This window comes from Homo sapiens, chromosome 15, assembly GCF_000001405.40.
Source record: "Homo sapiens chromosome 15, GRCh38.p14 Primary Assembly".
Lineage (NCBI taxonomy): Eukaryota > Metazoa > Chordata > Mammalia > Primates > Hominidae > Homo > Homo sapiens.
This window is the reverse complement of record NC_000015.10, coordinates 89,563,534-89,590,226: the sequence shown is the minus strand read 5'-3', so window position 1 is coordinate 89,590,226 and position 26,693 is coordinate 89,563,534. Positions and strand designations below refer to the sequence as shown.

General features: G+C 44.4%; 1 protein-coding gene across 2 annotated transcripts in view, besides 2 other annotated features; it reads right to left on the bottom strand.

Moving 5' to 3' along the window:
* TICRR (TOPBP1 interacting checkpoint and replication regulator) overlaps positions 1 to 14,758 on the bottom strand; it is a 52,555-nt gene extending 37,797 nt beyond the window's left edge. Inside the window, exons 1-4 of one of the 2 annotated variants that reach the window (NM_152259.4) lie at positions 13,987 to 14,758; positions 7,262 to 7,541; positions 5,700 to 5,941; positions 4,285 to 4,519 (exon numbers count right to left, since the gene is read on the bottom strand). In NM_152259.4, coding sequence (NP_689472.3) covers positions 4,285 to 4,519; positions 5,700 to 5,941; positions 7,262 to 7,541; positions 13,987 to 14,640 — 1,411 coding nt within the window. In that variant the 5' untranslated portion in view covers positions 14,641 to 14,758. The remainder of the gene's footprint in view (positions 1 to 4,284; positions 4,520 to 5,699; positions 5,942 to 7,261; positions 7,542 to 13,986) is intronic. The other variant, NM_001308025.1, reaches the window with a different exon arrangement.
* Positions 13,831 to 14,359: an enhancer, noted in NCBI's record as "H3K27ac hESC enhancer chr15:90119099-90119627 (GRCh37/hg19 assembly coordinates)". NCBI's record gives its function as "activates a minimal SCP1, AML or CMV promoter by ChIP-STARR-seq in naive H9 embryonic stem cells {active_cell/tissue: H9 hESC(naive)}" and the evidence as "EXISTENCE:reporter gene assay evidence [ECO:0000049][PMID:30033119]".
* Positions 14,481 to 14,770: a silencer, noted in NCBI's record as "silent region_6800". NCBI's record gives its function as "represses an Ori minimal core promoter by ATAC-STARR-seq in GM12878 lymphoblastoid cells {active_cell/tissue: GM12878}" and the evidence as "EXISTENCE:reporter gene assay evidence [ECO:0000049][PMID:35858748]".

Genomic DNA, 26,693 nt, shown 5'->3' with positions numbered 1-26,693 from the left:
TGCTGTACACTACGTCCTTTCAACCCGTATTCTTCTCCTTTTCTTCTCCTTGGCTGTTTGGCCACGTGCACTTTCTTGAAAGTGCTTATGATATAGTTCCCTATCTTTGTCATTGGCCCCTGTCTCCATAATACCACAGCCTCAACCCTTCCATCATGCCATCTTCACCTTTCTTTTAAAGGACAAGGTATATTTATTATGGACTTTACTTATTATGGATTTAATGTGTCTTTTAATCAAACTAGAATTTTTATTAGGATTGCACTTTTTTTTGTTGTTTTTAATTGAGACAGGGTCTTGCTATGTTGGTCTTGGACTCCTGGGCTCAAGCGATCTTCCTGCCTCAGCATCCTGAGGAGCTGGGATTACAGGCATGTGTCCCCACACCCAGGATTGTCTTAGTTTTTATCACTACCAAAGATTTTGAGAAGTCTGCCCCAACTGTAGTTTTCCCAAAGCTATTATTTTTAGTGTAAGATTTTGTAGAATTTTTTAAACAAGCAAAAGAAACTTCACATCACAGGACAGCATAAATGCCTATAATTGCATTTGCTGTTATATTACAAAATTCAGACAAGTGCAGTAAAGGTCTATGAGAATAAACATGACATGATTTCTTCTCAAGTCGTTGTATGCTGGATTAGGGGAGAAAGGCCAAAAATACCTGCCTCAGGCCTCCAAGTCTCAAGCCTCCCTCTGCATGGAAAGAGAGTGCCCCTCAGAGTTACCTGCACCTCTTCCAGCAAATGTCAAGCAGGAGCCCCATGCTAAAAACAAGGCCACCCTCCACTGGCCGCCTGGGCAGGGCTTTGGAGGGAGCCCTAGGCCCTCGGAGTTAGATGCCCTCCTTCTAGTCTCCACGCCGACATGGGCAGGAGTGGGGGTGGGCCAAACACCCACCCTTCTTACCCCCCAAACTCACAGGTTCAGCACCATTAGCTGCGTTGAAACCATCAGGAATCAATCTCATGCTCCCCTTCATAGCTGCTTTTTCCCGTCAGGCGAAGCCCTAGACCCCCAGGTCACTCCAGTCTGCCCACTGGAATCTCCTCACTGCTCCTTCCGTCTCCCATCCTGGCACCACAGCCTAGCCCTTCCACACGTAAAATCCTCCCACCCTGCCCTCTGGAACTCACTGACCCTCATCAGCAAAATCCCCTATGTCCTCAATTCCATCTCCTCCTGCCCTGAACACACTGCTTCCCCTGCAGCGCTGGAGAGAGCTTGCTGTTCCCCCGCCATGCTCTTTTTCCACTTGGCCCTGAGGTGGGCTGGTATCCTCCTTGCCTCTTCCAGATCATTTTCCCTCTACCTGCTGAAAATAACGACAAAAATCCAGCTTTGAGTCTCACATCAAAGGCTACACGCTCATAGTCATCTAACAAGCCTGGATCATTCCCCCTTACTCCTCAAAGACTGTTAGCTCCCGACTCACCACCGTCAGTCTCTCCAGTACTACTCAGTCTTAACTCTGGATAACTTCCATACACACATTTGATGCTACCAACACTCTGGCCTTTGTCCCCTTGAATTCCTCACCTCTGGTGCCCCAGCGTGTTGCCCTCCTTCAGTCACTCTCTCCCCCTGGTCACCACCCTCTATGATCTCAAGCACCCCATTCTGACCACCTCCACCTATTTTTTAGCTCTCTCCTTTGAGCAGATTGGCTCCAGAAATCCTGAGACCCCTATAACCCATTGATCTGATCGCCTGTCCTTCCGTTGTCCTCACTTCCCTCCTTACCCTGCCTCGTTCCATGGACAAATCCTGTAATCTCTTCCTGTTCACACTTTTGAATCCCTGACCCCTCTCTAGCTTTACCACCCTCATTTGGGAAAATCCCAACCCTGGTTAATCCAGCTCCCTGCCTACTCTGCAGCTGTGCCAGCTGGTGAATGTGGCTGGAGGCAGGCAAGCCCACAGAGGGATCTCACTTTACCTTCACGACTATCCCGGCAAACTTCCTCCACCTTCCTGCTATCTTCACCCTCTCAAGAGCCACTTCCTCCTCCCCTCTCTCCTCAGCCTCCAGCATCTCCTTAAGTCTTCATTTTCAGCTGATGATGTCACTTCCTAACTCACTAAAAAAACTGAAGCAATCGGAAGAGAACCCCGTACACTCACACCAACATCACTCACCTTGGCATCCCAGCCCTTACATTTTTGCCTTCCCCCAGTTGTCACAGATGAACTGTGCTTGTTCCCAAGACCAACCCCTCCACTTGCACTTCCTCAAAGCCCTCTAACTAGCAATTCTCTCCATCCCCTGCATTAATTTTTACCATATTATCTCATCAACATGCAAGCAGGCTATTATTATTTCTAAAAATCAAAACCAAAAACCTTGACTCTTCTTCCCTCTCTAGCCACTGTTTTCATTACTCTAATATCTTTTAGATCAAAACTACTCCAAAAAATTGTCCACACTTGCTGTTTTCCTCTTTTCACAGTCCCTCCTGAACGTATTCCCACTCACACTTCTACCCTCACAATTCCACCAAAACTAGTATCACAACCATCACGTTGTGATGGTATCCCGAGCATCCACATTGCTCAGTTGAATGTCAGCTCCCAGCCTTCATCTTCCTTGGCCTGTCAGTAGTAAATAACCCAGCCAAGCATTTCCTGTCTTCACTTGGCTTCCAGGGTACCACAATCTGGGTTTTCTTTAACTCAGCGACTGTCCCCCTTTTGTCTCCTTTGCTGGTTTCTCTCTCCTCATTCCCCAGACTGCTTAACATTAGGGTGCAGGGGTTAGTCCTTAGTCCCCTTCTCTTTCCCATCTACGCCCACCCCCATGGTGATCTTAACCCATCTCATGGCTTTAAAACATCACTGATGACTCCCATCATCTCTAGTCCAGACAAATCTCCCAAACTCAAACATGCATAGTTGATGCCTACTCAATACCATGTGTGGATGTCTAATGAACAACTCAGACTTACCATGCCCAAAACAAACCCTCCAGTCCTCACCACCCCAGCCCCTGGTTCTCCCACAGCCTTCCCTATCTCAGAAAGAAACTGCTTTCTACCAGTAGCTTAGGGCAAAAGTCTCTGGAGTCACTTTCAATTTCCCTACAGCTCACTCTACACATTTAATCTAACAGCAAATTTTGTTGGCTTTACCTTCAAAATATATCCAAGAGCTCCAACTACTTCCAACTCCCTACATTTCCCACCATCTCTTGCCTGGATTATTGTAATATGTCTGACTGGTTCTATCCTTGCCTTTCTATAGTCAAATCTCAATATGGAAGCCAGAGTAATGCTGTTAAAACATAAGTCAGATGGTGTCACTGCAGAAAATCACCCAAAGGCTTCCTCTCTCACTCACAGTAAAAGCCAAAGTCTTTTCAGTGCCTGTAAAGCCCTGCCCAGTTTGGTCTGCTGCTGGCTCTCTGACCTCACCCCCTCCTACTCTCTCCTTGCTCCTTTCACTGCAGCCACAGGCTTCCCTGCCATTCCTCTAACACCCTTCTGAGCCTTGGCACTCGCTGTCGCCTCTACCAGCAACTCCCTGCCATCACTTCCTTCATGCCTTTGCTCAAATATCATTTTTTCAGCAAGGCCTTCCCTGACCACCCTACTTAAAATTGCAACCCTCCCTACCCTAACACACCCCATTCCTTTGTTTCTGCTTTACTACTACAATTTTTGTCTCTTTAGACTAAACCGTAATTTTCCTGACTTATTGTTTTGTCTCCCTGGACTAGATGGTCAGCTCCATGGGAAGACATCTTTGTCCATTTTGTTCTCTAATATAGTCCCAGTACTTCAAACAGTGCCTGCCATACAGCAGGTACTCAAATCTGTTGAATGAATGAATGAATTAAAGAAATATCAAGTTGATTTTATATATATATATATGTATACGTATATTTAAATCTACCTAGCTTACATAAGGTTTGTAATACTAACATGATACAAACCTTATTTATGCTAGGTAGATTTAGTAGTAACAATGCATTTAGTTGCAATGCTAGTAGTAACAATGCAATGCAGGGTAGACAGAATCACTACAGTTTTATATGCAGTATTTCTTAAATATATTAAAAACCATGACTTCGATTTCAGACTGGTTTCATGGAACCTGCAGCCTCCTCAGAAGTACTTAAGGAATTCTATAAATAATAATGATTTAAACTGCCTGAAGTATTATAGCTTTCTTTCATCTGTGTTATAACATATTGGGGTTCTACTAACTGCACAGTGAAAAAGTCCCGATGCTTGAAAAGACTGCAAACCACCCTAGACTCTGTTAGTTACTAGTTTAGGAGCTTACCAGCAGAAGCAGTATCTGCAAGCGAATCATGAGTCTGATTCAATATACTATCCACAACATCTGAGAAAAGGGAAGCTGTGTCCCGGGGGCTGTCAGCCACAGCTGTTTGGAGAACATGTCGTTGAAATTCAGCCTCCTTGGTGCGGCACACAGTGAGGATCATAGCACTGGCAGAGAGTGGGGAAATAACTCCAGTGATGGGGGGCCGGCCTTCACCAGGGTCCACATCAGCAACCTACGTGAGAAGCCCTAATTAGTTGAGAATATTATTGTCAATATGCCTAAAGAAGAATGTAGTGTACTAAAAGACAGAATAACCATTTTCCCAATTATTATTAACGTGAAAACTATGAAAAAGATAGATTTGATCATTAATAGAGGTAGAAGGGAATTTATTAATCACAGAGTCCTCATATTTCTACTTACAAATAAGTAAAACCTGACATTACCAGGAATATTTACTAGGTATTTACTATGTGCTTACTGAATCCTCACAATCGCCCTGAGGTAAAAATAATTATTATCCCCATTTTATAAAGGAGGGATTGAGGCTGAGGCAGAAGTAACCTGTTAAAGCCACCTACTTAGTAAGAGAAGATGCCAAGCATATGTGACTTTGAAACCCATGTACTTAACCATGAGGCAGAAATACCACTTGAGTGATTTATCCAGAACATACAGTAGGCAGCAGAGCTGAGACCTAATCCAGATCACTGACTCCCAAACCCAGTGCCCTTTTCCTCAGAGCACACAACTCTCAGAACAGCATCTGTCCAATGACTACCGTATTTTTCTCTAGAATATTTTACAATGGGAACCAGAATAGAGACCCCTCCTGAGAGTATGAAGGCAAAAGACAAAGTAAGGTAAGGAATTTGCTGGTAGTTTAAAAATAATTCTCACCGTTAAATCAAATCTGGGTATGTATATGTTCCTTTTCAGAAGACATTTCTACATTTGTGTAACTACTGTCCAACTGCTGAGTTACACAGACAATTATATTACATTGTATATAGTTACACAACTATTATACTATTACATCTAATTTTACTGTGTAGCAGCTTTTTCTTAAATACTTATATAAAAGTAGTAAATATGTAACAGAATATTTAAAAAACAATGAGAAATCACTCATCACATTACTACCCTAACATAAGCACTTCATCTGGCCAACTGCCTTCTTCCCTATGTGAATATAATTTAACTTAATTGGATTCTTGGTACATGCAATTTTATAAGTGATTTCTTCTCTAATAAGCATTGCTGTCATGATACTATAATGTCAACAATATTATTTGCAAAAGCATAATCAGTTTTACTAAGACTATATTGTGTAGGGCATTTATAAACACACTTATTTCACTTTACCAGTGTGTTGTTAGACAAGAATAACTTCCCGTGTGGAGGATACCTACCAGGTGTAACTCTTCAGCAGTCAGCCTGCTTACCAACTGCTGAAATAACAGCCTTTGAGTTGCTGTGCTCTCCTCTGGACTTCCTAGCATCCAGCTGTCAGTGCCCAAAGTGCTGCTCGTTGGGAGAGACCACTGGGCCACTGAGCCTTTTAGAAAAATTCTGACTGGTTTCTGAAAATGTCTCTGATGCATGGCCAAGGGCTCTAGGGTGACTGTCCATGTTTCTTGAATCTCTTTGCCTGCTAGAAATAAAGATTAATTAGACCAGGATGCCAAATTAAAATTTTAAAAAAAGATTAAAATTCCAATATAAGGAATAGATACTAAAAAGAGATTTAATAACAATAAGAAAATAATCAAGTTGTCAATTGAGATACTGTCACTTAGTTGAACACTTCAACACTTATTCTACTGCCAAGTCATCATAGCAAGTTCATTTAGCTCTATAGAAAAAGCTATAAACAAATGGAGTTACAAAGGCAATATGTGATGGCAGAACTTCTCAGAAATTATGACTTAGAAATAAGTATAAGTATTGAAGGCCAGGCACGGTGGCTCATGCCTGCAATCTCAGCACTTTGGGAGGCCAAGGCCAGAGGATCACTTGAGGTCCATGAGTTGAAGACCAGCCTGGGCATCAAGGCAAAACCCCATCTCTACAAAAAATACAAAAATGAGCCAGGTGTGGTGGCTCATGCCTTTAGTCCCAGCTACTTGGGAGACTGAGGTGGGAGGATCCCTTGAGCCCAGGAAGTCGAGGCTCAGTGAGCTGCGATCTGAGCTATGATCGTACCACTGCACTCCAGCCTGGGTGACAAAGCAAGACCTTGTCTCAAAAAAAAAAGAAGTAAGTATTCAAGCAATGTTTACTACTTATAAGAAAGAAGACACCACTTCTTAAATCCATAAAGTACAGTGCATCATATCTTATGAGGAGGTTAAATTCTAAAGACTGTGTAATGAAATTATATAAACAAAACTACTCTTGAAAATTCCTTAAACTGCACATAATGTACAACAGTTTTATGTACATATCTCTATAAAGTATTATTTCTGTGAATATACAATATATTCAGAAATGAGATTTACCATATAGCAAATCATATGGTGAAACTAATGTAATGAAGATTCCAACATGTTTGCTTTTCCTGGTAACAAGCATCATTCTGGGTTTCTGTAGACTAATTTATTTCTTCTTTTAGTCGACCATTGTTTCTCTATGGTCTTCAATTTATCAATCTACTCTATGAGGCAATGAAATCGTATACCCATGTGCTTGGGCACCTGAATAATATTACCCTTCTTTGGGAACAGCTGGTAAACTTTAAAATCAATCATTCACTTGTTTTTTTGTACAAAGGCTGGCAGTTGTACTGAATTAAGAGTTCAACTCTTTCCTACAGTATCTCTGATTTTGCCTTGATGTCTTTTAATTCTTTCATGACAAGCATTCGTTGAGTGCCTGGGCTGTGAGAAATGCCAAAGAAGTTAAAAGCTTCTTTGAAGAAATTAATGTAACTGAGATTTAAAAAAAAAAAAACCTTAAAATATTATTTGCTTACCTTCAACAGGGAGAAATAACATTCCTTCCATTCGTGGAAACGAGGCCTCATACTCAGGAGAATTGTAGAGCAAACGGTTTAAAGTGGCATCAGTTGGCAGCATTGAAATCCACGGAGAAAGATGAGGTTCACTTGACAGCTTTATTCCACTCCTGAGCAGCATTTCCCCAGCTTGAGCAAAATCCCAGCTGAAAGATTCAGATGGCAAGACAGTGCCACCTCCGTGGTGGAGCAGTTCACAAACAGTCCAGTATCCAAGGTGGTCTGGGGATTCCCACAACTAAAATAAAACGACAAACAACCTTAGGTTACTATAAATTAGGCATTCACAAATAAAAGTAAAGGAAATCAGGAGAAAGTAAAGTTGATACCAATATTAAAGGATCGAATTACACAACCAATGTATTTGCTGAGCTAAATAGAAATAATGGTCAGCATCAAGCTACTGTGCAGCCCCAGAACAAATTACTACCTTATATCCCTTTGAGAAAGCATTCATTTAGTAAAAATAGTACCTCATTTATATTTTTTGTCAAGGAACAGAAAGAAGTGACACAAATCACTGGGTATAGATCATAAAATGTTAGAAGGAACATAGAACCATTATACATTAATAAAAATAACCTTTTTTTTTTTTTTTTTGAGTCAGAGTCTTGATCTGTCACCCAGGCTGGAGGGCAGTGGCATGATCTCGGCTCACAGGAACCTCCACCTCTCAGGTTCAAGCGATTCTCTTGCCTCAGCCTCACAAGTAGCTGGGATTACAGAAATGCGCCACCATGCCCGCCTAATTGTTGTATTTTTAGTAGAGACGAGGTTTCACCATGTTGGCCAGGCTGGTCTCAAACTCCTGACCTCAAGTGATCTGCCTGCCTCAGCCTCCCAAAGTTCTAGGACTACAGGCAACAGCCACTGTGCCTGGCCTATTAATAAAAATAATTATGTCCTATACAGCACAACACAATAATGGCCAGGTGTCATGGGAGTGAGGCAGGAGCACCTCCCCCAGACGGTGACCATCACTCTGACTTGCCCACCCACAGGCCTGTGCAGAGACGAGACAAACCGAGGCCTCGTGGCATCTTTTGCCCTAACTGTTACCATAGCCTGTAAAGTCTGTGCTCTGCCTCTAATCGTTCCTCCATGGTGCTCTAAGTATTCTTCCAAATCACTTCTCTGGTCACGCTACTTCTCTGAAATTCTGAAAGGCTTCCCACTGCCTCCAGAATAAAGTAACTCTTCAGCATAATCACAAAGCCCTTCACAAGCCAACCCTAAACCACCTTTTGGAACACATTATCTTCTACCCCTCATCCACCCCCACTCCTTCTAGGCATATTGAACCATTTGCTATTTCCTGAACATGCCATATTTTAAGGCTTCCCTGTTTTTGCTGATTTCTATTTCCTGGGCCTCCCCTTCTTTCTTCACCAACTGAATGGTTATTACGCTTCTGTATCTGGCTCAAATCCTGCTTTCTTTGTAAAAGCCCTGCTTCACTCCTTCACACACAGCTGACTCTTCAGTCAACCTTCTGTCAACAAACTTTTATTGAGTAACTTCTATGTGCCATGTCTAGGATCTCGAAGTGGGGCGGGGGGTGTGAATAAAACAGTACCAACATAAAATGTTTAACGTGGCATCACAGTATAACAACAATATTCAGCTACTATGGGAATATGAAGGAGCACACCCCTTAGAATATGCTCATCATGCCGGGTAACAATTATAAATTATAATTGCTATGTGAATGTTAGGAATCAGAACTAGAAGGGTCTCGAAAGTCAACTAGGTCATTCCCAAACTTCCCATTGTAGTCAAGTTCAAAGACAAGCAGGGAATCGTCCATGGTCCCAGCAAGGCAATGATAGACAAGTCCAAGAACCCAGGACTGTTCTGAATAGACTGCTTTCATTTATTTTTATTTTTTGAGACAGGATCTTGCTCTGTTGCCCAGGCTGGAGTGCAGTGGTATGAACATGGCTCACTGCAGCCTTAACTTTCTGGACTCAAGCAATCCTCTCGCCCCAGCCTCCTGAGTAAGTAGCTGGGAGTACAGGCATGTGCCACCACACCTGGCTAACTTTTGTATTTTTTGTAGAGATGGGGTCTCACCATGTTGCCCAGGTTGGTCTCAAACTCCTGGGTGCAAGAGATCCTCCTGTCTCAGCCTTCCAAAGCTGGGGTTACAGGTATAAGCCACTAGGCCTGGCCTAGACTGCTTTTAAAATTCGGATCATGACCATCTGACGGACTTTGATAGATTCTCTGATGGATTGAGTGGTTTATGATCAGCATTAAAAACAAACAAAAAAAAGATCCCATGTAATGAAGATAAACAATGTATTGGAGCACATTATCTTCTAATCTATCTAAACTTTTCAGTCATGAATATCAATCTGGAAAATGCTGTATTAGATTAACCAATTAATTAGTATGTGATGTTACCACCCATGTATCTATATCTGTGTTCACTGCTATGGAGAGAATGGTAACCTAGTTCAGACGCCATAGATCCTGATTAGGATTTTCTGCCAAATGGACACAAAAATTTTGTTGAAATTGTTTCAGCCAGAAGACCAGCCAGGAAAACAAACAAAAAAACCCTGTTAATAAAATGAAAGGTTAAGATGTAACTTTATGGCCGGTTGTGGTGGCTGACGCCTGTAATCCCAACACCCCTCACTTTGATCCACAAGGCAGGTGGATCACCTGAGGTCAGGAGTTCAAGACCAGCCTGGCCAACATGGTGAAAACCCATCTCTACTAAAAATACAAAAATTAGCTGGGTGTGGTGGTGGGTGCCTGTAATCCCAGCTACCAGGGAGGCTGATGCAGGAGAATCACTTGAACCTGGGAGGTGGAGGTTGCATTGAGCCCAGATTGTACCACTGCACTCCAGCGTAGGTGAAAAGAGTGAAACTCTGTCTCGGGAGGTGGGTGGGAAGATGTAACTTTAATAAGTGTTGAAAAGGACCTTAAGTTTCTATTAAAGGTAATGTGTGCATGGCGTAGTCTGCTTAATGTTGCTTACAACAGAATAGCTGAAACTGGGTAATTTATAAAGAAAAGGAATGTATTTCTTACAGTTATGGAGGCTGAGAAGTCCAAGGCCAGGGGGTTGTACTTTGCAAAGGCCTTCTTGCTGGTGGGGACTCTGCAGAGTCCCAAGGCAGCACAGGGCAAAGCAGGGCGATGAGGCTCAGCAAGTGAGCTCAACACTTTCTTCCTCTTTTTATAAAGCCACCAATCCCACTCCCATGACACCCATTACTCCATGAGTTTTGGAGGGGACAAATATTCAAACCATAGCAAAACATGTGATTAAAAAAAAATAACAGCCTGTAATCCCAGCACTTTGGGAGGCCGAGGTGGGTGGATCACTTGAGGCCAGGAGTTCGAGACGAGCCTAGCAAACATGGTGAAACCCTGTCTCTACTAAAAATACAAAAATTAGCCAGGCGTGGTGGCAAGCGCCTGTAATCCCAGCTACTCGGGAGGCTGAGGCAGGAGAATCACTTGAACCCAGGAGGCGGAGGTTGCAGTGAGCCGAGATTGCGCCACTGCACTCCAGCCTGGGCGACAGAGCAAGACTCTGTCTCAAACAAAACAAAAACAAAAATACAAACAGTATACTATAGAGTATGGTCACATTTTTCACTCGTATGCGTATTATAGGATAAGTGACAGACATGTCCTAGTGGTAGTTTCAAATTTGGGGATCTGTAAATGTCCACTAGACTATAAGCTCCAAGAGGGCAGGGACCACATCTATTTGATTCCTTAGCATACCTGGCAGGTATGGAACAAATATGTATTGAATAAATCTAAGGCATAAAGTTGAAAATGTGTCAGAGGTCTCTTATCCTCCATTCTGTCCTATATCTTTGCAAATATGATATCCTGTTTTATGCGCTTGGATCCCTCTGCCTCCAATGTAAGTGCAGGTTCTGTTTCTCCCAGTTCTACTTCCCAGACTGCACGCTCCCCAAGGCAGGACCTGGATTTTCTCTTCCTCCCTTCTCCCTGCTCCTGGACAGAGCACTCCCCAAGGACACAGCCCAAACCTTCCTTTTGCCCAGCATGGCTGGGCAGGTTTTTGAATAGAAAATGATAGATCTTCAGCAGAAGAAAATTCCAGAAAAACTTGAGTATCTGATGGGCATTTTCTTAGGGGATACAGCCGATGTAAGAAGGGAAGCCTCAGAGATGACCCATCCCCTCAGTCGACGGTACATCAGACCTGGAAGGGATCTTTAAAAAGATCCAGTCAACCCACTTATTTCAATGCTATTCAAAAAAAAAAAGAGAGAGAGAGATTAAAGAGAAAAAAAGAGAGACAAAGAATCTCCAAGATCCATCAAGCCCCATCTAACTTATTTCTAGCCAGTATTTAACATAATAAAATTCCAGAAGAAAGTCTTTGATGTGATATCAATTGTTTCCAGCTGAGCAATGTGTTGTATACTGTGTCTAAGGCTTGACTGGCTGCCTTAAATTTTAATATATCTAGGATTTCATTTTCCCCATCAAATGTTTACCATCCCCTTAAACACTTTTTGTCCCTTCCTTTTCTTGACAAACCACTGCTGCCTTATTTTGCATTTGCCACGCCTTTTTTGGGCTTCGCATGTGAAAGCACTTTGAAAATTTTAACATACCATATTATTATTTAAATGCTTGCTCATTTTCCATCTGTAATCTTGCAATTTAACTCACTCCTGGGTTAGTGACATGTATTTCCATTAAGTGGAATCACATCTTTCACTTGGTTAAACCACATTCCAAAGCCTTCCCATTAATTAATTAGAACAAAATCCACATTTTTGACCTTGGCCCTACAGATCGGCCTCTCCTGCTTTCTGACTTTCTCTCACACTGCTCCCCTTGCCTACTAGGTCTCAGCACTCCTTGCCTTTTTGTTTCTGAAACAAACTAAGTTCATTTCCAGCTGAAATCCTTACACCTGCTTGTCTCCTCACCTGGAATGTTCTTTACCTACCTTTGAGTTCCTCCTCCTTCACCATTCAATTCTCTGCTCAAAAAGGCCTTCCCTGCCAGGCACGGTGGCTCATGCCTGTAATCCTAGCACTTTGGGAGGCTGAGGTTGGCGGACTGCCTGAGCTCAGGAGTTTGAGACCAGGGTGGGTAGCATGGTGAAACTCCGTCTCTACTAAAAATACAAAAAAATTAGCCAGGCCTGGTGGCGCCCGCTTATAATCCCAGCTACTTGGGAGGCTGAGGCAGGAGAATTGCTTGAACCCAGGAGGTGAAGGTTGCAGTGAGCCGAGATCACGCCACTGCACTCCAGCCTGGGTGACAAAGCGAGACTCTGTCTCAAAAAAAAAAAAAAAAAAAAAAAAAAAGGCCTTCCCTCACTACCACTCTGTATACAATAACCACCTTCTACTCCCATCCTCTCACCCCATTTTATTTTCTCCAGAGCATGATTTGAAATTGTCACTTGCTTATCTGTTTAATCTGTTCCCTGCTTTGGTTACCATGTCCCCAGCAGCTCAAACAGTGTGGTAGGCACTCAGATGTTACTGGCTTCTCAATGAACATTTGTTGACTAAATGAAGTGCAATGAGAAGGATGAAGGCAAAAGTATATACTTATCCTAGCACTTAACAGGAGCAGGGGGCCTCACCGCCTCAGCAAAAATCCAAATTAGCCATTTAAGACTTTAAGTTTGCAAGAATGTACGCAAGAATGTACTCATTTAGTCAGCCAATACTGACTGAACACCTACAACGTTTAATACACATCTGGGTGGCTGGGCGTGGTGGCTCACACCTATAATCCTGGCACTTCGGGAGGCCAAGGCAGGCGGATTGCCTGAGGCCAGAGTTTGAGACCAGCCTGGGCAGCATGGAACCTGGTCTCCACTGAAAATACAAAAAAATTAGCCAGGCATGGTGGCGTGGGCCTGTAGTCTCAGCTACTTGGGAGGCTGAGGCATGAGAATCGCTTGAACCCGGAGGGGTGGAGGTTGCAGTGAGCCACTGCATTCCAGCCTGGGCGACATACACTGTCTCAAAAAATAATAATAAATAAATATATATATGTATATAAATAAATGTGTATATATATGTGTGTGTGTGTATATATATATATATATATATATATATATATATATATATACACACACACATACACACACACCCCTGGGTATTGTGTTAAAACCTGCTGCTTGCCTCTGAGGTATTTTTAGACTAGATGGAGGGTGAGAGATGTGCATAATCAAAACATATGGAGAAATGGTTAAGTGCCACACAAAATGTGTATGGCAATTCAGACGCTGGACTGAGCAGTTGTCACTGGGAGAAGAAGCCTTAAAGGGTAAGTGAAGTTAAGACTGGCCTGGAAGAGTGAGAACTGGCATTCCAGGCAGATTGAACAACACACATAACACAAAACAAGCAGTCCAGACCTGTTGATTTTCTGGACTGGACTTCAATATGCTAGAGTAGATGTAGTGTGTAGGAAAATCAAGTCTGGGAAGGCAGGTAGGGCCCAAATTGTGAGGGGTCTTAAACAGTAGGTAGTGAGGAACTACCCATTTTGTTGTGAAAACTGTTCCTATTTATTTGTTTCCTTCCGAAGGGACGCATAGTCATATTAGTCTCATTCGGGGTCTGTGGCTGTTCTAAGGACGCTGCCAAGTTCTGGTTAGCAAGGAAAGCACCGTGCACGCCATCTGAGACGACAGTAACCTTCCTTACCTTAGACCATTCGGTGGTATCCACCCAGTAGAAGGTGATTTTTCGGGCGACCATGACTTCCCGGACTCTCTTGGGCAACAACTTCTCCATCACCTGCTTAGGGGTGGGCGGCAGGCGCTGGGCCTGGGCCTCGCACCCAGACACGAACTGCAGCAGCTCCCTCTGCGAGTGCGGACAGGGGGCCAGGAGGAAGACGGCGTTCACCAAGCCCCCGAGCGCGGCCTCGGCCTCCTTGGCCTCGCTCTCCACGTCCAGCAGTCTCCTCCCGCTGCTCCGCAGGATCGGCTTCGTGGGCGACGTGATCTCGGGCCGGTCCCACTGGTAGTCTAGCAGCGTCTCCATCAGGGCGCCGTGCGTGTGGGTGGCCCTGGGCGCCGGGCCGGGCAGGTGGGCGCGATCCTCGAGCCTGGCCTCCAGCTCCTCCTCAAAGTCCTCCCACGAGCGGGACCCCAGCTCGCGGAAGTCAGACACGCGGGACGGCCGGCTCCGCGCCCCCTGCGAGTCAAAGAACTTGAAGGCCCAGTGGACCCTGGCCAGGCCGAATCGGCAACTCAGATAGGTGAGGAGGCGCAGGGCGGCCCGCCGGACCCGGCTGTGGCGGGCGGCGCCGCCCGCGGTGTCCAGCAGCAGCATTACTTTGTGACAGCATGCCATATCGGCCGTGCCGCCGCCCCGGGGCCCCGGTCCGGGCCCGCGCCACCGTCCCTTAGTCCCTTCCTTCAGGGAAACAGCACCACTCACTGCTTTCCTTTGGGACCCTGGTCGAAAGGCTCCCGCGCTCTCCAGGAACTGCTGCTATTGGGGGAGCTAGTTTCCAAGGTTTGCTCCTATTGGCTGCTTGCCTTACGTAAGTTACGAGAGCAACTTCCATTTTTGGCGGTGATTGGAGGGGCAGTGGAGAAAACTTCAGTCTGATTGGTGGAGGGAGTGACGGTGGGCGGGTCTCTGTGGTCCGAGAGAAGCTTAGCATTCATTGGCCTGGGCCTTCGTTTTAAATTTTAAAGAGGTGGTGCCTCGGGGGCGTGTCGAGAAGTTTCGCCATTGGAAAGAGGCCAGCGTTTGTGCGCAGTCGTGAGTGCGGACTGCGGGGCCACGTTTCCCAAGACCGAGGAAAACTTAGTGCCGGGAGGGAATTTGGGATGGTTTGAATCGAACTTGTTGAAATCCCTGTGGACCGCCTAGGAAGTAGAATCTGACGACTACGGCTTTTTCTGTAATTTAAAAAATTTTATTAAAAATTAAAGGTTCACTCCCTTTGCCCCAGTAACTTCTAGGAGTTTATCTGCAGAAGGTAATCGGAGAGCCAGATAAAAGACGTCTGTACATCTTAGAGTTTATTTAACATCAGAAAAAATGGAAACAGTTTGGGAATGGTTAAATAAGGTATGGTACACGCCCAAGGGGAGCATCGTGCAGCTCCTTTTTTTTTTTTTTTTTTTTTTTTTTTTTTTTTGAAACGGAGTCTCGCTCTGTCTCCTAGGCTGGAGTGCATTGACACGATCTTGGCTCACTGCAACCTCCACCTCCCGGGTTCAAGCGATCCTCCTGCCTCAGCCTCCTGAATAGGACTACAGGCGCACGCCACCACCCCAGACTAATTTTTGTATTTTTAGTAAAGACGGAGTTTCACCATGTTGGCCAGGCTGGTCTCAAACTCCTGACCTTGTGATCCACCCGACTTGGCCTCCCAAAGTGCTGGGATTACAGGCGTGAGCCACCAAGCCCGGCCTAGTGCAGCTTCTTAAAATAGTGTTTTATTATGTAATGTTAGGTTTTAAAAGTGGACTGCAAGCAGCACCTGCAGTGAATTCCCTAAATTTTCTATCTACATGTATATATAGATAGAAATCACATGTAGATTTGCATTACAGATAGAAATTATATATCGCTATATAGATAGAATACATAGAATTATATATAGATAGGCCGGGCACGGTGGCTCACGCCTGTAATCCCAGCACTTTGGGAGGCCGAGGCGGGCGAATCACCAGGTCAGGAGATCGAGACCATCCTGGCTAACACAGTGAAACCCTGTCTCTACTAAAAAAAAAAAAACAAAACAAAAAAAAAAGGAATTATATATAGATAGATAATCATAGATAGAAGTTATATATAGATAGAAATGCATTTATATGCATATTTTTAAACTGTTAATATAATATTGTGTACCGGAAGTTGTCTGTGATGGTCTCTCCATGTGATTTTTTTTGAAACTTTTTTACACTTCCTCTTGCTGGACACCAGTGAACAGGCTGATTTCAGAGATGTGAGATGTGCCTCTAGGATCAGTGGAATATGGTATTTGGAAAGAAGAAGGGGACAAAAAATGAAGGTCGGTTACCTGAATATGTGTTTAGGGAGATTGATCCAATACTCCACACCATTGAATTCTGCTTGCTAAGTAATTCTGTTTCCACCTGGAAACAGAACAACTTCCTTTATATGCTTTGGCTACAACTTCCTTTATGTGCCTTGGCTTCTCCAATCAAAGTCCTCAGCAATTACTGCCTCATGTACAACAATTTTCTCTTTTGGTTGAGTTTTCTAGGGCTGCCTGCCATAACAAAGGATCAAACCCAAAAATTGCCTCACAGTTCTGAAGGCTTGATGTCCAAAATCAAAGTGTTGGCATGCACTTGCTCCCCTCCAGCCCCCATGGCTCTAGGGGAGAATCATCCTTTGACTCTTCTAGTTTCTGATGTTTGCTGGCAATTCTTGGTGTTCTTCCTGTGTGTCTTCCCGTCATCTTCCCTCTGTGCATGGCTGTCTCTGTGTCCAAACTTCCCTTTTATAAGGACACCAGTCATGTTGGATTAGGGCCCACCCTAATGACTTTATTTTAACTTGCTTACTTCTACAAGACCCTATTTTCAAATAAGATCACATTCTGGGGGATGCTGGGGGATAGGAGGACCTTAACATATCTTTTTTTTTTTTTTTTTTGAGATGGAGTCTCGCTCTGTCGTCCAGGCTGGAGTGCGGTGGCGCGATCTTGGCTCACTGCAAGCTCCACCTCCTGGGTTCCCGCCATTCTCCTGCCTCAGCCTCCCAAGTAGCTGGGACTACAGGCGCCAGCCACCACACCCGACTATTTTTTTTTTTTTGTATTTTTAGTAGAGACAGGGTTTCACCATGTTAGCCAGGATGGTCTCGATCTCCTGACCTCGTGATCCACCTGCCTCGGCCTCCCAAAGTGCTAGGATTACAGAAGTGAGCCACTGCACCCAGCCAGGACCTCAACATATCTTTTTGGGAGGACACAGCTCAGCTCATAACACCTTTCATCCTTATGCCAGTCATTCATTTCACTCATCCAACAACACTTACTATATACCAGGCACCATTCCTGCCCTAATGGAATTTCCAGTCTAATAGGTAGGGGATCAGACATTAGACAGATAATAATACAGATGAACATAATATGAAAAAAATTTTTTTTCCGAAAAGAGGTTTTTTTGTTTTGTTTTGTTTTGTTTTTTGAGACGGAGTTTTGCTCTTGTTGCCCAGGCTGGAGTGCAACAGCGTGATCTTGGCTCACTGCAGCCTCCACCTCCCGGGTTCAAGCAATTCTCTTGCCTCAGTCTCCCGAGTAGCTGGGAATACAGGTGCCCACCACCATACCCCACTAATTTTTTGTACTTTTGGTAGAGATGGGGTTTCGCCATGTTGGCCAGGCTGGTCTGGAACTCCTGGCCTCAGGTGATCCACCCACCTCAGCCTCCCAAAGTGCTGGGATTACAGGCATGAGCCACCACCCGGTCTGAAAAGAATTTTAAGGGGAAAGTGAAGCATAGGATAAGGGACTACAATGGGTGAGCTGGTTAAGATTTTTGTTTAAACTTTAATGTATTCACATATTGCATTTTGTGACATATTGCATCACAAACCTTACTGAAATGTATATTGTGCCTTGAGGTGTTAAGGGATAAGCAACAACCTAACGCAGTGAGATTTAAACTGAGATTTTAGGGGTAAGCAGGAGTTTAACAATGGCGGGTGAGATAGGGACAGGAAAGAGCAGGGAGGAAAAGTGATTGGGGCATCTTTGAAACACCCAGACAGGAAGGAACATAGAGAGTTTGAGGAATGGAAGGAGGGCAGTGGGGCAGTGGGGCTGGGTGGTGGTGAGCAGGTGGTGGGATGAGAGAAAGGCCAGGGAGGCAGTGGGGCCAGTGAGAGGCTCTGGAGACCACAGAGGTAGCTTGGATATTCTACTGAGAATGTTAGGAAGCCAGGGGAAGGTTTTGAGGACGGGAGGGACTTGATATGATTTGTGTTTGGAGAAGAGCGCTCTGGCTACTAGGTGGAAAATTGAATATGTAGGGGCAAGAATGAAGCAGTGAGACCTGTGAGGACATGCTGCAGACCATGTTGGGGACTGTTTTCCAAAGGGAAGAGCTAACACACAAAGAAGTGCCCAAGGCAATCAACCCACTGGGTGCAGGAAGAAAATATTGAACTTCCGTTTCTCTTATTTTTTATCTGACAATGCACTCATTCATTGGGTACCAGTGTTTTGTGACTACTGCATTTTTCATTAATCTGATTAAATGGATTGAAGGATTATCCAATTGAGTTTTAACTAAAACGAGTCTCAAAAAATGAACAAGTGTGGCCGGGTGCGGTGGCTCACGCCTGTAATTCCAGCACTTTGGGAGGCTGAGGCAGGCGGATCACCTGAGGTTGGGAGTTCGAGACCAGCCTGACCAACATGGAGAAACTCCATCTCTACTAAAAATACAAAATTAGCTGGGCGTGGTGGCGCATGCCTGTAATCCCAGCTACTCAGGAGACTGAGGCAGGAGAATTGCTTGAACTTGCGAGGCGGAGGTTGTGGTGAGCCAAGATCGCACCATTACACTCCAGCCTGGGCAACAAGAGCGAAACTCCATCTCAAAAAAAAAAAAAAAAGAAGAAGAAGAAAAAAAAAAAGAAAAAGAAAAAGTGGCTTTACAAGATTCCTGCTAAGAAGTCGTATGTTGGAAGTTGTATTATTAATATTAACAATACAATCACAAGCAAATCACATGAAAATGGTGGATCTGACATTCTTGTTTTCCTAGTATGAGATCTTTTTTAGCCACACTTTGAGATTAAAAAAGACAATTTGATCAAATCTTACACTTGTGTCCAAGTGAAATGTGGAATAAATAAAAAGCCTACTTGAAATGCGTGTTTTTATTATAGTTAATCACAAACCTTACCTAAGTGTATATTGTGCCTTGAGATGTTAGGTAAAATGATCATATGAAGCTATCACAATTAGTAAGACATTTAAAAACTGCCTATTTTCTCTTTATGTCATCCTTTATAAATTTCTATTTTATGTTTTATAATACATATTAGTAGGTATCTGCATATAATTTGCCAGTTAGTAAATATACATATATTAGGGGTGCAGGGTCAGCTTCTATTTCTATATATTTCAAATTACATAAAGTATAATTCTGTCTTCATCAGGGAAAATACCAAATAAATGTGGAAACCGCTGGTCTGCTTATGATGGTGGCCTTGGTACAAGTGATGGATATGGTGAACCGTTGTTGAATTCTGGATATATAATATTTTGAATGTGGAGGTGACATAACTTGCAAACAGATTGTGGAACAGAATAATGACTTCTAGGCTTAGGGCTGAAAATGGAATGAAGGGTGGAGAAGACTCAGTGAGGAAGTGATGGGAAGGAGGGTGCAGAATATCAAAGGTTCTAGTTAACCCATGTTAGCTTGAAGATACCTAATGGACCTCCAAGCGGAGATGCCAGGTGTGTATGCAGTTAGATATATGAACTGGGCCAGGCACAGTGGCTCATGTCTGTAATCCCAACACTTTGGGAGGCTGAGGCCAGTGGATCACTTGAGGCCAGGAGTTTGAGACCAGCCTGGCCAACATGGTGAAACCCTGTCTTTACTAAAAATATAAAAATTAGCCAGGCATGGTGGCTCATGCCTGTAATCCCAGCTGCTTGGGTGGCTGAGGCATGAGAATCGCTTGAACCTGGGCAGCGGAGGTTGCAGTGAGCCAAGACTGCACCACTGCACACCAGCCTGGGTGACAGAGCAAGAGTCCATCTAAAAAAAAAAAAAAAAGATAATGAACCTGGAGCTCTGGGGAGAAATTGAGGCACAGAGGTAATTTGAAAGGGATGAGTACTTAGCTGTCATTGAAAGTCCCAAGCCTGGATGAGAGGTTGGAAAGAGGAGTGGCCACTTGGATAGGAGGATGCTATGGTCTGAATGTTTGTAGTCCCCTAGAATTCATATGTTGAAACCTAATCACCAAGGTAATGGTATTAGGAGGTGGGAGGTGATAGGGTCTGAAGGGCAGAGCCCTCATGAATGGGACTAGTACCCTTACAATAGGCCCTAGGTGTGGTGGCTCACACCTGTAATCCTAGCACTTTGGGAGGCCAAGGTGGGAGGATTGCTTGAGCCTAGGACTTGGAGGCCAGCCTAGACAACAGAGCAAGACCCTATTTATGCAAAAATTAAAAAAAAAAAAAAACTAGCTGGAAGTGGTGGCACATGCCTGTGGTCCCAGCTACTTTGGAGGCTGAGGTAAATGGATCACTTGAGCACGGGAAGTCACGGCAGTGAGTCATGATTGCACCACCTCATTCCAGCCTGGGCAACAGAGCAAGACCCTGCCTCAAAAAAAAAAAAAATAGACCTAAGGGAGCTCGTTTGCTCCACCCACTATGTAAGGACACAGCTAGAAACCTCTGTCTATAAACTGGAAAGTGGGCCCTCTCCAGACAACAAGTCTGCTGGTGCCTTGATCCTGGACTTCCAGTTTCTGGATTGTGAGAAAAAAAAAATGTTGTTGTTGATAAGCCACTCAGTTTATGGTATCTTGTTAAAGCAACCCAAAAGGACTAAAACAGTAAAATCAGGAGAATTTGGTGAATGTAAATCCAGTGAAAAATGGGTTTCAAGAATGAGGGAGTGGAATACTATGCAGCCATAAAAAGCATGAAATCACGTCCTTTATAGCAACATGGATGCAGCTGGAGGCCATTATCTTAAGTCGATTAATGCAGGAACAGAAACTCAAATACCGCAGGCTCTCGCTTATAAGTGAAGCTAAACACTGGATACTTATGGACATAAAGATGACAATACCAGACAGTGGGAACTACTAAAGCAGGGAAGGAATGAGGGGAGCAAGGGTTGAAAAACTGTTGGGTACTGTGCTCACTATCTGGGTGATGGGATCAATTGTACCCCAAACGTCAGCATCACACAATATAGCCAGGTAACAAACCTGCACATGTACCCTGTGAATCTAAAATAAAAGTTGAAACTATAAATAAGTAATAGATAGAAAAAATTAAAAATGAAGCTGGGAAAAAAAGAATGAGAGAGTTGTTTACATTTTTAAAAGTTATCTTTTAGAGATGCCGAAATATTTTACCAACAAAATGATATAATGTGTAGGATTTGCTTCCAAATAATAGGGAGGGGAAGATGCAGAGGTGAGTCTGGGCAGGACTTCCCTGGCCGTGGGTTGGAGGTGGTTAGGCTGAGTGGTGTGTATGTGAGTCTCATTGTTTCATGCCCTCTCCTTCCTTTTTTTTTTTTTTTTTTTTTTTTTTTTGAGACAGAGTCTCCCTCAGGCACCAGGCTGGAGTGCAGTGGTGCGATCTCGGCTCACCGCAACCTCTGCCTCCTGGATTCAAGTGATTCTCCTGCCTCAGCCTCCCGAGTAGCTGGGATTACAGGTGCGCGCCACCATGCCTGGCGAATTTTTTTGTATTTTTAGTAGAGAAGAGGTTTTACCATGTTAGCAAGGATCGTCTTGATCTCCTGACTTCATGATCCGCCCGTCTCTGCCTCCCAAGGTGCTGGGATTACAGGCGTGAGCCACCGTGCCTGCCTTTTTTTTTTTTTTTTTTTGAGACAGAGTTTTGCTCTTGTCACCCAGGCTGAAGTGCCGTGGCGAGATCTCGGCTCACTGCAACCTCCACCTCCTGGGTTGGAGCAATTTTCCTGCCTTAGACTCCTGAGTAGGTAGCTGAGATTACAGGCGCTGCCACCAGGCCCAGCTAACTTTTGTATTTTTAGTGGAGACAGGGTTTCGCCATGTTGGCTAGGCTGGTCTCGAACTCCTGACCTCAGGTGATCCACCGGCCTCAGCTTCCCAAAGTGCTGGGATTACAGGTGTGAGCCACCACGCCCAACCTCATGCTCTCTCCTTCTGTACATGTTAAAATTCTCCGTGATTAAAGGAGGCAGCAGCGGAGGAACACAGGGCATGATTCCCTCTGCCACAGGCTGCTGTGAGGTGGGATAAAATGAAGGCTGAGAATGGACTGTTGGGTTGGGCAAGGTGACGGGCACTAGATTGCTTTGACAAGAGGAGTTCTGCTGGAATGGCGGGCATCCAGGGATCAGGGCACTGGCAGAGGGGGTATGAGGAGAGGAAGGCAATGAGGACAGGCCACTCTCTTGAGCAGAGCTTTTTTTTTTTTTTTAATATAAAAAGGAGAGCTGAGAAATGAGGTGGTAGCTAGGGGACATGAGGAGTTTAGGAAAGGGTGTTTGATGTTTTGTTAACATCAGAATATTGCAGGAGATGTTGCAGTGTGTTTGTACTTGGTTGGAAATGACAGAGATTAAATGAAAAGCTGCTGATAGAAAAACAGCGTTGGGGAGAAAGAGGACTGTGGCAGTGCAGTAGCTGGGTCCGGGGTCGGCTCTGTGACAATTTTAGGGTTCTGTTACAAAAGAGAGAAGGGGAGAATGGATATTGAGGAATAACTAGCAGCCTTAGACACACTAGGATTTGGGCAGGAACAGGGGTGAAAAGAGGAGGGTGAGTGGCTTGAGGATGGGACCCAGGGACAGGCAGTATTGATGAGAAATTATTAGGAATTCTTTCAGCTGTGAAGGCAGGAAATTGGACCAGAGTGGCTGAAGTAGATTGAAGATAGGTGGCTGCTGGTGTAGGGTCATTGGTTCAGTTGTGTCAGGGCCAATGACTGTGCTGTTCTCCCGTTTACACAGGCTCATTAACCCAGGGAAGCTGCATACACCCTGGAAGGCAATGCTTTCATAGAAACCAGCCCTCCTTTCAGATTTTGACTTCCATCCCATTTGACTGAAATGGGTCACATGGCTACTCCTAGCTGCAAGGGAGGCTGGGACATTGGGGGAGATTGTCATGCTGGGAGTTGAGGTGTTGGATGGATCGTTTGCACAGATCCCAGGGTGCTAGGAAGGTATGAAGAATGATGATGGGGCAGTGGCAGAGAGACACAGTTAGCCGTGACCAGAATACTTAGTGAATGAGGAAGAGACCTGAAGAGGACTGTGACAAAGAGGCAGGGTGTGGCCTAATGTCAATTGTTTCAAAAAGGCTGGGGGTTTATGGAGGACCGGAAGGGAGGACAGCTACCCCTATCTCAGGCCAACTGGAATGAGGATCATGAGAGGGAAAATAGCCCTCATTTGAGGAGGCCATAGGGGAAGGGTTGCCTGCAGGCATCAGCCAGTTTTCCTGCAAGGCAAGAAGGTGAAGGGAATATTCAGAGTGAAGGCGGAGGGCACAGTGGGTTTGTGTAGGGGTGCACTGCAAATTCCAGAAGACACACTAGGAAGGCTGAGGAAGGGTGGGAGATGGGGTCAGCTTATGGCTATGCAGAGCTGTAAGGGGTTAAAAATCTACATGAGGAGGATGACCTGAGCTTGAGGGTGTCCCATCTGATAGTTTTAACTTTCTCTGAGGAAGGAGGCAAGACTGAGTGAGCGGGGAGTTGGAGGAGTAGGAGTTGGGGGAAAGAGGAGAAGGTTAAAGCAGCTTCTCCGGAGAGTGGAAGGCGAGTTGGCCAGGCAGCCATGAGAAAGGCCCTGGCTGTGTTGAGGGGCCTGGCTGTAGCTTCTCTCTCGCTCTTCCTGAATTCCCCAGGCGGAATTACCACACCCTTTTCTGCATTCCTATGGCATTTTTCTAATGGAAAAGTTTAAGAACAGCCTAATAGCATGGAATTTCTACCCCTGAAAAGCATATTTGTAAAAAAGCAAAAATCGAACCTGGGTTATGGCTCTCATACCTTCGGTTTACATCAGTGATTGGATTGAAATTGTTTTCAGTTGGCTAAACTGCTCCAGAAAAAAAAAAACAAAAAACAAGTGTGGCGAGGTGGCGAGTGTTGTGTCCCAGCCAACTAGTAAACTCAAGATATTTTAATTAAGATGAGAAAAAGAAAGAATAGCGAGAATGGGCCGGGCACGGTGGCTCATGCCTGTAATCCCAGCACTTTGGGAGGCCGAGGCGGGCGGATCACGAGGTCAGGAGATTGAGACTATCCTGGCTAACACGGTGAAACCCCGTCTCTACTAAAAATACAAAAAATTAGCCGGGCGTGGTGGCGGGCGCCTGTAGTCCCATTGGGAGGCTGAGGCAGGAGAATGGCATGAACCCAGGAGGCGGAGCTTGCAGTGAGCCGAGATAGCGCCACTGCATTCCAGCCTGGGCAACAGAGCAAGACCCCTTTTCAAAAAAAAAAAAAAAAAAAAAAAAAAAAAAAAGAAAGAATAGCCAGAATGAGTTGAGGAGAGGTTTAATTACGCTTGGAGCTAAATGCAATCAAATAGATTTTTAAATGGTCTGTGTGTGAGTGTGTGTGTACACTAGAAAACTCACACACAAAAAAAGAACTATAAAAGCTTGAACTGAGGAAAAGAGTCTTTGTTTGCATAAAAATAATGAACTTGGACCACCAGAATCCCACGTAGGGTGTAATAGATGGTAAGACCCCCAGAAAGCCATAACCCCTAATGGCCCTACAAATGAAGTCAGACAAGATAAGGAAAAACTGAGGATCTGGCATGGATAGCTATGGTCAGAGAGCAGAAACCGGCCTCTTCAGGGGTAAAAACTACCCTTAGATCAAGGGAGCTCAAAATATCTCCCTGCCAGGATCTTGGTATGCTGTGGCCCAGTGAGTGTAGTGTTCTTCCTCTTCTTCCACCCTATAAATGATAGTGTTTATTGCACATGTCCAGTCCTTGTTCCAACTATGTGAGATAGATATGGGCTGGCTGACAACATGAGTTCGTTGTTTTTCTTTTTAACTTTTGAATTTTAATTATAGATCAAGTTTCTCTCTCTCTCTCTCTCTTTTTGTTATGGATACCCGGTGGCTCACACCTGTAATCCCAGCACTTTGGGAGGCTGAGGTGGGCGGATCACCTGAGGTAGGGAGTTCAAGACCAGCCTGACCAACATGGAGAAACCCTGTCTCTACTAAAAATACATAATTAGCTGGGCATGGTGGCTCATGCTTGTAATCCCAGCTACTAGGGAGGCTGAGGCACGAGAATCACTTGAACCCAGGAGGTGGAGGTTGTAGTTACCCGAGATCGTGCCATTGCACTCCAACCTGGGCAACAAGAGCAAAACTCCATCTCAAAAAAAAAAAAAAAAAATCAGACCAGGCGTGGTGGCTGATGCCTGTAATCCCAGCACTTTGGGAGGCTGAGGTGGGCAGATCACCTGAGGTCAGGAGTTTGAGACCCGCCTGGACAACATGGTGTAACCCCATTTCTACTAAAAATACAAAAATTAGCCGGATATGGTGGCACACACCTGCAGTCCCAGCTACTCAGAAGGCTGAGGCAGGAGAATTGCTTGAACCCGGGAGGCGGAGGTTGCAGTGAGCCGAGATCATGCCGCTGCACTTCAGCCTGGGCAACAGAGCAAGACTCCATCTCAAAAAAAATAAAAATAAAAGATAGACCAGGCACAGTGGCTCATGCCTATAATCCCAGCACTTTGGGAGGCAAAGGCGGGCGGATTACCTGAGGTCAGGAGGTTGAGACCAGCCTAGCCAACATGGAGAAACCCCGTCTCTACTAAAACTACAAAAATTAGCCAGGCATGGTGTTGGGCGCCTGTAATCCCAGCTACTCAGGAGGCTGAGGCAGGCGAATTGCTTGAACCCGGGAGGTGGAGGTTGCAGTGAGCCAACATCGCGCCACTGCACTCTAGCCTGGGCAACAAGAGTGAGACTCTGTCTCGAAAAATAATAATAATAATAAAAATAAAAATAAGTAAAATGGTTAAAATATTCCTATGTGTAAAAAAAGGAAAAAATATGTATATATAATAAAATAAAAAGAAATACAATGGCTAAAATGGTCAGCTTTATATTATCTGTATTTATTATAATAAAAAATCTTCAAGCTAGAAAAAAATCAATTGAGCATATTTGTATGGTCTATTTCTAGGTTTTTAATGTTAGTTCACTAACCTATGTGTCTGTTTCTCTGTTAGTACCACACAGTCTTGATTACTGTAGCTGCATAATAAATCTTAAAAGCAGGTAGTATGATTCCTAGCACTTTATTACTTTGTTGTTGTTCAAAATTGTTTTAGCTATCCTAGTTCCTTTGTCTTTCTATATAAATTTTAGAATAAGCTTATCTATATCTAGAAAGAATCTTGCTGGAAGTGCTTGAAACTTACAAATCAATCTGGGGAGAATTCACATCTTTGCTATGATCCTCCCAGTATGAGAACATGTGTATCTCTTCACTTAGTTAGGTCTTCTTGGATATTTTTTCAGTGTTTTGTAGTTTTCAACATACAAGTTACGTACATGTTTTGCTAGATTTATATCTAAAATACTTTTTTTTTTTTTGAGACAGAGTCTCGCTCTGGTGCCCAGGCTGGAGTGCAGTGGTGTGATCTTGGCTCACTGCAAC